General features: G+C 51.4%; 2 protein-coding genes across 32 annotated transcripts in view; one reads left to right on the forward strand and one right to left on the reverse strand.

Annotated features, from left to right (window-relative positions):
- The window catches only part of PIWIL1 (piwi like RNA-mediated gene silencing 1), an 88,374-nt gene extending 80,079 nt beyond the window's left edge, over positions 1-8,295 (forward strand). The window contains exons 22-23 of the transcript XR_007063144.1: positions 380-586; positions 8,035-8,295. The gene's annotated coding sequence lies outside the window, so the exon portion shown is untranslated. The remainder of the gene's footprint in view (positions 1-379; positions 587-8,034) is intronic.
- The window catches only part of RIMBP2 (RIMS binding protein 2), a 320,167-nt gene that overhangs the window by 21,833 nt on the left and 286,194 nt on the right, over positions 1-12,140 (reverse strand). For 19 of the 31 annotated variants that reach the window (NM_001351227.2, NM_001393621.1, NM_001351229.2 and 16 more), the window contains 2 exons: positions 10,214-10,372; positions 4,488-4,596 (listed from right to left, as the gene is read on the reverse strand). In NM_001351227.2, coding sequence (NP_001338156.1) covers positions 4,488-4,596; positions 10,214-10,372 — 268 coding nt within the window. Of the gene's footprint in view, positions 1-4,487; positions 4,597-6,176; positions 6,894-10,213; positions 10,373-12,140 lie in introns of all 31 variants that reach the window. The other 12 variants (XM_047428628.1, NM_001393616.1, NM_001393629.1 and 9 more) reach the window with 2 other exon arrangements.

Genomic DNA, 12,140 nt, shown 5'->3' on the forward strand with positions numbered 1-12,140 from the left:
GAGAGAGCAGCATTGGGAGAAGCAGCCCAGTGTGAGCTTCTGTCCCAGCACGAGGAACACAGGTGGTGGGACGAGATGACACAGGTATGCAGAAGAGACAGGACAGGTGGTGGAGAAAGAACCAAACCGTTTGGCCTCTTTCACCAGAAAAAATAAAACACGCAGTCTAACAAAAGCACTTTGGCTGCAGGAAAGGTTGAATTTTAAAATGCAATGAATTGTTTACATTATTGAGATTCAGAGTCTTTTTTGAATGCCTAATCTAAAATGTCAGTAATTTCTGCCAGGGAACAAACCTTTTCCACAGCAGCCTTCATTAATTTCTCCAGGCTGTTATGATTTTGTTGATAGTCCATGAAAAAACCTGACTTTTTTCTAGTTTCAAGTGGTATCTGAGTTCAATAGAATGTGAAGCGCTCCATGGCCTCTACAACAGGCACAGCTGTGCAGCCCCTGCTCACACCCAGGGATGATGGTGGAGAACAGCTGTGGCTGCATGAGAAGGACGCCTGCTTTCCATTCTGCTGGAGATCTGCTGGAGGAACTTAATGACCATGTCAGTGTGATCTAGTGAATGCAGTTCCAGGTACGGAAAAATGCCAGTGGAGGAGAACCTCTGGCTACACCATTTTCCAAGCAAGTTCTCAGCACTTCCCAGCTGAGTTTATGTGGCAAGTTTGTGGCATCAAAACGTGCAGAGGGGTCAGGGGCTAAGGTCAGATTCTAGAGAGAGTTGGGTGTGGTCAACATACCCCTTGAAAATCTTTCAGGTCCCTCCTATAGCCTACGTAAGAGTGCATTTTCTCAGTAGGTGGCTTATACTCAAGGACCATGATCTGTGAAAACATCTTTGTGTCTTCAAGTCCAAACTCACATGGACCATGCAACTGGCCACACCACGGGAGGCATTTAGGCAGACACCCCAACACAGAGCTGCCTGAGGCCAGTCCCCCAACGAAGGCTCCTTCCAGAGAACTGCCCACAATGTCACGTTGTTTTGGGGGGAAGACAGGTGTGGGGTAGAGGTGGGTGGAGCACTTGGAGTTGAACGTATGTGAATAAAATCAGCGTATGCGGTGACTCCACCGTATGTTCTTCCAGAGAGGATGCACTGGATGTGTTATGAGCACCAAACCTCGACAGGGAAAGAGTAGCAGCCTCCCTGGAATGTGTCCATGGAAACTTGGCTTCACTGCAGACTGGACTGGGCAGTTGGGGGTCCCTTGTCCTTGGTGATGGCAGGCGAGACTGAAAGAAGCACTTACCTACAGCTGTCTGTCTGACCCTGGGGGGAGTGGGCACTGCCTCCCATCCTGCTGAGGAAGTGTGCTGGCCCAAGGGGTCTTTGTTAGGAGGAAGGGTGTGCATATCGTGTGGGAGATCAGGGCTCATGCCTGGACGCCTGGGTGGGCTCCCAAATCCACTGGTGCCATAAGAATAAGCACCGTCTTCTACAGGAGAGAGGTTTCCCTCACTACCTGGCCCAGACCGACTGCCCTCACTGCTACTGTCCGTTGTAATTTCTATGGAGATAAAGGGAATCATCTATTAAACAGAGTTGACAGCTTTTGATTTTTTTTATTGCAGGGAAACCTGAAGAAAAGAGCTCCCCTTTTTAAGGGGCAAAGCTTTGTCAATAGAGTTACTAATGTTTTTATTTTTCCTCCCTGGACACAAAGAAAACACGCTGGACTTTCCTCACTTTGTAGGCTCAGTAGCCAAAATAACAAAAAATGGGAGAATACAGAGGAGATATTCAGAGTTGATTCCTAAGAACAGAATCCTCTTGAACGTGGTGCTTCGGTTTTAGAAGAGTGAAGCTACAGGCCTTCTGTCTGACAGGTCAACAACTAGATAAATGCAAAGACCAAAAGTTATAAAGGATAAAAATCAAACCTAATTAAGTATATATTTGAAGCCACATAATTTTGTTTTTTAATCATGAAGGACATTTTTTAAATTTTGGAAATCCAGAAAATATTAAAATTTATATTATTTTTCATTGTAGGTCCACTGCTTATTAAAAATAGGAAGTGTATGGTTTACAGACTTAATTTCCTCTGAAAAAGATAAGTAATCCTTTGAAATATAGATTTCTAAAATATTGTTTTCTAGTATTTTCACAAGAAAAATAGAAGTAAATGACAACTAGAGGAATATCCTGTCTGTTCAGCTGTCACTGATGTTCATTTCCCAAAGCTCTTTGCCGAGTCCTCCTCCTCCTCAGGTGGGTGATAAGCACCCTCCGCTTCTGTTTCCTTTTGAAACCATAATAGGTGCTGAGATGTGTATTTGTGTGTAAAGTATCTGGTTAGAGTTATTTTATGTGGTGTCCCGGCTTGCTACATGATAAGAAGTCAGCACAATTAAAGCAAACCTATCATAGGTTTGTCAGTTAACTCTTTTCTGAGTTATGTTCAGAGGCTTTTTCCTTGTTAAGGTGTTGACATAGATTTGCTCTTTCACCCAATTTAACAAGTGTGCTACTGAAATTAAGACACGCATGCAGCCTTTGGAATTCTACGGCTTCAGAAAAATCCAACCACATTCATCAAAAGTAGTTTCATTTGGGAAGGGTTTTTATGATACTAATAAAACTTTAAAGCTTCTCACTGCTGATGAATGCAGTTTTAAAAAAAAAGTCTCAACAATATACAGCCATTTGAAAAGCAATACTGATCTAGGAAAATAGCAAACCAAAGCGGAGACAAAAAATAATTATTTAAGCCAATATTGAGTCTAAGTCCAAGCAACAAGACAACCCAGGACAGTAGATTTAAACCAGACTCTGACAGCGAGGGTCACCCTGGCAAGACTGCAGGCCCAGGGTTGGTTTTCTTGGACTTCCTGGCTCAAGTGCTGATTTGTCACAGCACAATTTTCAGTTCTCAGTCCTAGGAGACTGGAGTAGAAGACCTACCATGCCTCTTCCAAAGGACGTCCTTTCTGAGCGCCTACAGCATTAACTTCTCAGCGGCTACACCATCCCCAGGTCACTTCCTGAGCCATGCTTGCAGTCTTCACTCATTAAAGTTACAGTCAAATGAAGACTCGAAATCTCACCCTAACCACAGAGAGAGAATGAGAGCCTTGAACAGGGGGATTGGCCTTTTCCCCACATCGTTTCTCAAGGCAGGACATCTCGGACAGGTCATTTAACATGAAAGCCAGGAGAACCGATTTATTAAGCTCCATAGTCCCTCCAGAGGGAACGACACACGAATTGAATGAAGATTTGAGAGACACACACTAGGTTTAGAATACCCGAAAGGAATCTGGGCTCCACTAACCCTGCTAGCTGATCTGTAATAAGTGCCATCAATGTTCTGTGAGCCTGACTGCATCTTTTATTACTCAGTTAACTGAAAATACGGTTTCCTAAGGATCTTTAACATTGCATGAAATTTTTACCAGAGAAACATAAACACAATCTAAAAGCTGTGAAGATGGAATTTTTTTCTTATTGTTTGAATTGTACAAGGAAGAAAAAGTCTGGCAGGACACAATTTCAAAGAATCTGTTTTGCTTTATGAAGCCTTTCTTCATTTTGAATTGATGGAAAAGACCAATGGCCTTTTAAACTTCAGCTATTTCAACGAGATTCCAGGTGGCTTTTCAGTGGCCTAGACTATCCAGAAGTTATCCTCCTTGAGCCCTGTCATGCCAAACCAAGACGGTTTCTCCTCATCTATTTCTGCTGTATCAAGAGTTCTCCCTGCATTTATATGTGTGTGTGTGTGTGTGTGTGTGTGTGTGTGTTTTCATAGAAGCCTGGTTCCTCTGTGCTGATGACCAGCTTCCATTATCTTGTGCATAATACTTTTTGGAATTCTCCTTGCCATGATTGATTCCAATAATAGAAGTATCCCCCTCCATGGATTGATTAGGATGACTAAAACGATAGCTTTCAGCATGGCTGGCTGAATTCCAAAAAGTCAGGAAGAGAATGGAAACGGAATGCCAGATGACGACTCATGAGCAAGGGAGGTGCCCAGATGGATGTGGGGAGCACACATTTCAGGGGCACACTCAGCTGCACGGTGTCCCCCAGGATTTAGCTCTGCTGCCAGCGTGTCTTCTGCAGACAGGCAGCATTCCCTCGGGTGGGGCTCACAGACCCCTGAGGCACGCTGACATCCAGCTTCTGCACCTGCCATGGACTGTGACCCTGAGTGTCCCAGGGAGCCCATGCCAGGATGAGGGAGGTGACACAAAGTGGTCCCCCCTTCAGTGCTTACCCTGTGAAGCTCTCCAGGAAAAAATCAGCTGGGAGAACATGGATGTAGAAGGCCAATTTGATATTTCAAGAATACTTACAAATAGCTTTCATTTATCTTGTGCTGTTCCTGCCTTCTTTTTGCCATGAATAACAGTGTTCTTTGCTTAGCGGAAAATGCTACTCCTAAAGTTTTGTTCATGCTTAGATGGAGTAAGCAGCCACATGCTCCGCGGCTGAAAGACACAACAGCGATGATGGGGCCACTAACCGATGGATGGGACTGTCACGGGCCGGGACCTCTGAGGACCAGCGCTGCCACGGGGAAACCTCCGGCCCATGTGATCCACCCGTCCTGCAGAGGCTGGGTTCCCTAAAATCTAAAGACAAAACAACAACAAAGTCGTAAGTCTCGCCAGCATTGGGAACTGAAGAATTCAGTTAGCCAAATCAAGCGGGTTGAAAAGCAGAATCTGTAAAGGCAACTAAACTTAGCTTTTAACTGAAAGGTTAGCTGAATGGCCTGGGAGAGAACAAAGCCGGGCACCAGCACCCCACTGTCTACTCGGAGCCGCTGCTGGGCGCATGGTGGGGTGAGGGCAAAAATAATTCCTTGTGGGGGGGTCTCTTTTGGTTGCTGCTGCTGGTGCTGAAGACAAATGTTTTGGGACCAAAGAGACAATGGCTTGAATACATCCCACCCCGCCTTGGCTCCTTGGAGCACCTGAGTCCCTCTTAGTCTCCACATGCCCCCCTCCCAGCTGTCACGAAAGTGGGGAAGATGTTGCAGTTCCTCCTGTCCTGCTTGGATAAAAGTCGTATGTGAGGTTTCAAAAAACTGAAAGACGGAAGTTTCTACATTTTATCAGCTTCAAAACTCAACATTCTACTCCTAATCTGAAAATGCTGGTAACATTCTAGGACTCAGACGGGTCTCCTTTCTGGCTAAGTTCACCTCTAAATTCACCTTTAGATCAGGGTTAGGATTGACTAAAGACAATCACAGCAAAACCTTCTTCTTGCTAGTAAGTAAATGGAGTGAGGAAGTTCTCAGGAACACAGGCATGAATGGTGGGAAGGGAGTCCGGGGATGAGGCGTGTCTGCTGCAGAACCTGTGGCAGGGCAGGGGAGGCTGCGGGCTGCCGTGGGCGGCTGAGTCACTGAGGCACGGATCTCGCACCTCTCCTGGGTGGGCCCATCGCAAGCACACGGCCTCAGACCCAAGGCCTGGCGCCATGTGGATGGCTCACCTGTGTTTTCAATGAAAAGGTCAGCATGACAGGAGCAAATGTTCCGAAAAGAGGACACAATATAGAGATGAATGAAGCCTTCAATGAATCCCTATGCTCAAAACCAACAACAAGCCCAGACGGCAGGGCCGGCGGGGAGAAGGCTGATCATGGAAAATTTGTTCTGGAAACTGTGGGCACAGAAAAGAAATGGGAAAAAAACAAGAACTTTGGAAACAATATGCAAAAAAAAAAAAAAAAAAAATAGATTTCTTCAATCTTTTTTTTTTTTTTTGGTTATAAATGTCAGAAAGCAATGAAAAAAACTCCAAAATAACAAGGAAAAAAAACCCTCGACAATACTAGTAGTCATAAATAAATCCCTAAGGATCCCTGTGAACACAAACATGTTGCCAAACTTTCAGATAATCACACTTCAGCTAACCCTTAATTAAAATTTAGATTCAGTTGTCCTTTAATTCAAGCAGCCATACTCATTACTGATTCTGGGGGGTGGAAATCATTACTCTAAGCACAGTAAAGAAATCTTCAGCATGGTCAAAAGGTTGGGAAGCAAATCGGACTTGAGAAATCAAAAATGCAGGGAAAACGAAAGACAGCCAGCAAGAGAGTCCCCAGGGATGGACACCAGAACAAACAGAAAACCAGTGAAAGGATGGGACAGATTGGTTTGGCAAGCGGCTGTGAAAAGGAAGTTTAGGTCACACACCAGGGGGCCTTGTGCGACTCTGGGAGGTGGCTTTGCGTGGGGGGCAGCTGCCCTACTGTCGGGCATGGTTATGCTTTTCTTCCAGACACCCCGAAAATCTTGGTGCTCGGTGGGCTCGCCCCAGCCGTGCTTCCTGGGGGGCGGCCTCTCCGGGCCGGGCTGGGGGTCGTCGTTCCTGAGGAGGCCACCAGGGCCCACCTGCTCCCCAAAGTCCTCCTCCACGCTGCTCTGCCGGGTCAGCGTCCGCCGCCGGGCCAGCAGCGGCCTCGGGCCCCTCCTGCAGGGACAGTGACCAGGGCCTGGGCTGCACGCGGCCACGGTGTTTCCGAAGCCAAACCGCGACTCGTCCTCTTCACTCCCACAGTCCAGGCCGCTGTCCGGGCTCCGGGTGGCCGAGCGGCTGAACCGACAGCCCCTGTCTTCCAGAAGGAAGTCCTCCACGTGGGGGACGGCCCCCGAGCCCCTGTGCTTCACCGGGAACCAGGAGCCCCGAGGGGCCTCGTCGCCCCTGTAGGGCCTGCCGGGCCTGGGCTCTCTGGCCAGCCCCGTCCTGGCCCTGGGGGACGGCCCTGCACCCTGCTTGTGTAGCAGCCCACAGCACTCTCCGTCCTCTTCCGCTACTTCGGGGATACTGAAAAGTCTCTTCCTGTGGGGCTGGTGGGGAAACTCGGGCTGCTCCCAGAAAGTGCCTTCCGAGGTCCTATGGTCAGTGCAGTCCTTACGGGGTGGTGTGTCAAGAACAGGCGCGGGAAAGAGTGTGTGGTCAGCATGAAGTGGGGGCCAGGGGAGGAAAGAAAATACAGACAGAATTAGTCCTGGAGGCACCGAGGGGGGGGAAGCATGCGTCTACTCAGGCCGGGGGCATGCCGTGGAGGGCTCTGCAATGAAAACAGAATGGGTTACGGGGCTGGGGCGGGGTGGAGGCTGAGGCAGAGCACACGCAGAGCCAGCGGGCCGGGCAGGAGCCAGCGCCATGCATCCAGCCAAGGAGAGGGCAGGTGAGATCCCGGCGGCACATCAGGCCCCACAGTGCCCACGGTACCGCTGCTGTAGATGGTGGGTGTGGCCACGGTGCCAGGGGAGACTGCCCGGGGGCTACATCCTCAGAAACCCTGAGGGCAGCTGCCACTGGAGGCCGTGTGTGACTGGAGACAGTTCACCAGACACGGAGCCTGACCCGTCCCTGTCCATCCACTGGGCCAACTTCCCTTCCAGCGCTCGGCACCCTCTGCAGGACTTTCTAGTTAGGCTGACGTGTCACCCTTCTCCCTAAGATACAAGCTGCGTGAAACCACGCCATCCCCGGCCCCACCAACAGCGCCCGCACACCATCGTGCAGAGTCTGTGTCAGCAAAGGACTGGGGTCCGCCTGTCTCCTCTGCATCCTGCATCAAGTCCCTGAGAGCCACACTTGAGCCATCACAGTCTCCAGTGGGTGGCACAGAGCTGGCCACACCGGGAGCTGCTTAACCAGACCAGTGTCCATGACTTTTATACTGCCCGTCTGCACGCCATCACTCTCTGCCGGGGACAGCCCTCAACTCACCCTCTACCCAAAGAGCATGAAGGACTCCTGACTGGTCTCTCCTTCAAGGGGGCTTGGCTGACCGCCCAGGCAAAGCGTGCCCCTGGGTCCTGGCCGTCGGCCCTCGGGATGCTCAGTAGAGATGAGCCACATGGGCACGGAACAGGGCCACTTGTCTGTCCCCCCTCTTGCTGTGGGCCCCTTGATCTTGGGGACCATGTGGGATTTGCCTAACACAGGGTCTGCCATGGGCCTGGGACTTGCCACAAGCCAGGTGAGGAGGCATCGGGGCACACACTGTGCAGCTGATAGCTCTCTCCCTTCACTTTGCAGATTCGGGAGCACATCAGCTAATATTGGAGCGAATAAGGACATCGAAAACAAACCATCCTTAGAGGACAGGGATGGCAACCCCAGGCACTTTCCAAGGCAGGCGGGAATGAGTGAACCGGGCCAGCGGGGGCCGAACATCTGCCGTGCCCATCAGGGATCCGGCTCCGCTACAGCTCCTCACTGCCACGTGAGAACGTGTGCGCTGAGTGGCCAGATCTCTGTACCACATCTTGTAATTTCTAAAGAGAACCCAGAAATCCAGACCTGCCTACATGATTTCTATTTTTTTTTTTTTTTTGAGACAGTGTCTCACTCTATTGCCCAGTCTGGAGTGCAATGGCGCAATCTCAGCTCACTGCAACTTCTGCCTCCCAGGTTCAAGTGATTCTCCTGCCTCAGCCTCCCGAATAGCTGGGATTACAGGCGCGTGCCACCACGCCCAGCTAATTTTTGTATTTTTAGTAGAGACGGGGTTTCAATATGTTGGTAAGGATGTTCTCGATCTCTTGACCTCATGATCTGCCCGCCTCGGCTTCCCAAAGTGCTGGGATTACAGGCATGAGCCACCGAGCCCAGCCTCCTACATGATTTCTAAAACCAGACAACACCTTGTGGATGGGAGAGGGAGGCTGCTGCCATCCTGGCCAAGCTCCAGCCCCGGCGATCCCCCTGTTGCTAAGAGGTGGAGGGAGTGGGGCTGTGCCTGTGGGGGTGGGGCTCAGCCCAGGAACTTTATGATGAACTCGCTTGACCCTGGGCCACCTTCTGAGGAGAGAAGGTGACATTATTTCTCTACTGAGCAATTCCCGGGCTCTTCCTCCATCAAAAGGAAAGGCATCAGGGGGCGGGGGAAGACCAGCTGCCCGCCTCACCGGGCCTGACTCATGGGCACTTTTTCGGAGCTCCTGGCTCTGGGGCACACAGAGGGGTCGTGGGGTCAGACTGGACCACTCCGCAAAGGCCAGTGTGAATCTGCTCCGTGGTGTCACCTGGGAGCGGGGACGGAGGAGCTGCCGGGGATAGCACGTGCTGCACCATGCAGGGTTTGCATAGGGATCTGGCATGTTCTTTGGTGACAGGACATCCCCCAAGGCCCTGCCAGGGGCCTTTGCCAGGAGAACATAAGTCAGTCTTGTCTATGCAAGTAGGCACCGAGTTGGCAGGCCAGATTTGGATGAGTCTTCTGTCCACCATTCAAAATGCACGCCCTCTGTTCCTGGAGAAAGCAGTGCTGGGAAGCTTCGTCCCGGGGGATTTCCTCTCCAAGGCCTTTTTCATTTGGAAAACCCACAAAGCTCCTACCAATGGCTTGCCTTTGTCTGTCTCCCCATTAGGTTGGGACCTGAAGAGGGCACCCCTTAGCCTAGCACAGGGCCTGGTGCATAGAGCTGGTCATCCCGCACTGCCCTGCAGAGCACATGAATGCGGGAGTCGGACGCACTGGCCAGCAACCGCAGCAGCAATGACAAACATCTCCCCAAGGCCAGGACCAAGGGAAAGCCACGTGGATGGGAAACCCACCCTCCTTGGCTCTAGGGTGCCTCGAGCTCAATATTCCTGCAGGTAACTGCCCGTCGACCCCTTGCTGATGGCCTCTGCCAGAGCAGAAGGGAGAGGGTCTAGCGGGAGGTGGTCTGAGCAGGTGCATGGAGCCTCCAGCCTGTCTTTGAGGCCGGTGTGATCAGATGTGGGACACCCATCTCTTCCGACCTCACTGTGCTTGACCCCTGCCCACCACCAGGCAGGGCCACCATAGTGCCCTCCTTTAAGGAGCTCCCTGCTGACCACACCGTCCTGGCCTCCGCTTTACATTTAGAGGTTGATGCACGCTCTCTCGGCTGCCGATTCTCTCGAGATGAGACTTAAGGCTGTGGAGGGGGTTCTTCTTTGTTCTATTCCCCCCACTTCAGTTCCTGGCACAGAGCTGGGTGCCCCCTGGAGGGTGCCAAATAGATTCCTCTAAACTCCTTTACCCAGACCTTTTGGCCAAGAGCAAGACAGGAGTGTAGGTAATTCCCAAATGCAGATTCAATAGTGAGAAAGAAGCGAATCCAAATCCGAGGGCTACTGGTTGTAGGGCAAGGCCCCTCTGGAGCCTGCCTCACCAGCCCCAGCAAAGGGACGTGGATGGAGCTACTCTGGGGACGGAGTGCAGGGTCCCCCTTCCCCAGCCACTCACCTTGAGGGCATTGTGGGACGTGCCGCTGGGCCGCCTCCTTCCCCCATCTTCCAGCTGCATTTCAGAATACAGCTCCTCCTCGTCCTCCTCCATGATGTCTGAGAGGTCAGACCCCCGGCTGCTCTCTGTGTGGTACTCGTCTCCATGGCAACAGTGCGGCTGGGGGCCAAGAAAAGGGGCTACTGAGCGGGTGGCTCCTCCCGCATCCTACAAGAGGCCAGATTGAGCTTGCCAACCCTTTCCCTGCTTCGCTGACTCACGGGGCTCACAGGCCTAGAGACGGGCACAGGGTGTGTGTTACTCGTTCTGGAAAGTGAGGCTGGAGAGAGGACACACCCACTCTCTCTGTTGAAGTGGCACAGATGGGATCAGCGCAGGTCTCTCAGCTCCAACAGGTACAGAAACACCTGAGCTCTGGACAAGATAGAAAACCCACTGGGGCTTACAAGACACGCGGGCAGAATGTCCATTTCTGGGCACCCTCAGCTTCTCCAACTTATTGGCTGGACAAAGGCTCCAAACTCTGGTGACGGTGGGGATCAGTGCACACCAGGTGTACCCTGGATCCAGCATTGTGTCAGAGAGGCAGGGGGATAGTGGTAAGGTGAGGTGTATATGTACCATAAAAAGACACTTAGGCGGGGCGCAGTGGCTCACGCCTGTAATCCCAGCACTTTGGGAGGCCGAGGTGGGCAGATCACAAGGTCAGGAGATCGAGACCATCCTGGCTAACACGGTGAAAACCCATCTCTACTAAAAATGCAAAAAATTAGCCGGGTGTGGTGGCGGGCGCCTGTAGTCTCAGCTACTCGGGAGGCTGAGGCAGGAGAATGGCGTGAGCCCGGGAGGCGGAGCTCGCAGTGAGCCGAGATTGCCCCACTGCACTCCAGCCTGGGCCACAGAGCGAGACTCCATCTCAAAAAACAAACAAAACAAAAGACACTTAGGTTTTTAAAACATGCCACGTTGTCTAACACACACGCGCAGACACTGGCAGACAGCCTGGCCTGGCAGGAGGTGGAGCCACCGCACAGACTGTGTGCTTACTCCGGGCCCAGCTCAGCCTCAGCATGAGACGAAGATTGTGCAGATAGTAGGGGCACTGGGCGGAGGCTGCGGACAGCAGAAAGGCTTCAACAAAAAAAGTGTGTTTAAATGAAGAGGCTACCTGGTAACATGCCAGCTTGGAGACAGCGACAGCCCTGGTGGTCTCTCCCAGTGATGGTGCCAGCAGCAGCCGCTGGGTTTCCACTCACAGAGAAAGCACCTAGTCACGTGGTAACGGTATTCAAAGCAAAGTAAACCTTCGACAACTCGAACTACACGTTCTGATGCACTCAGATTGATGAATGTAATACATCCATAAAGATATTCTGTTTTTGCTACATGGTATCGATTAAGAACAGTTTATTTTGCGGAGGTGTGGCAAGACAAAGGTATTCAATAGCATTCTGTGACGTATTTATCTAAAAAAAAATCTGGTTTCAATTCCTAACCCAGATGAAGATGTGTATGCATTGGCGTCACGGTCAGTTCCTGGCCTGCTGAGGGAAGCTGCGTGGGGCTGCGGGCGGAAGGTTCCCTGCCCCAAGCCCGTGAGAGGGAGGACGGGAAGGGCCTCGGCCGGGCAGTCTGCAACACCAGCCTCTCAGCTGCGCCAGCCCTAATGCTTCCAACCAGGCTCCAAGCGGAAGGCACGAAAGCGAACTGGGTTTAAATGGATTTAAAAGGTGAGACTGGGTCTAACGAGGCCCTCCCAAGGCCTCTGGGGAGGGACTGCCTGCACCACCGCACAGTCTCACTTTATTCAACCCCAGCAGTGAGCTAGGGGTCAACTCCTGGGACGGAAGGAGGTGTCTGGCATTCGCCAGATGCTTGAGGTCAGCCCTCTCTCCATTCTTGGAATAGTGTTCTAAGCAAAGGTCAC

This window comes from Homo sapiens, chromosome 12 (genome assembly GCF_000001405.40).
Source record: "Homo sapiens chromosome 12, GRCh38.p14 Primary Assembly".
Lineage (NCBI taxonomy): Eukaryota > Metazoa > Chordata > Mammalia > Primates > Hominidae > Homo > Homo sapiens.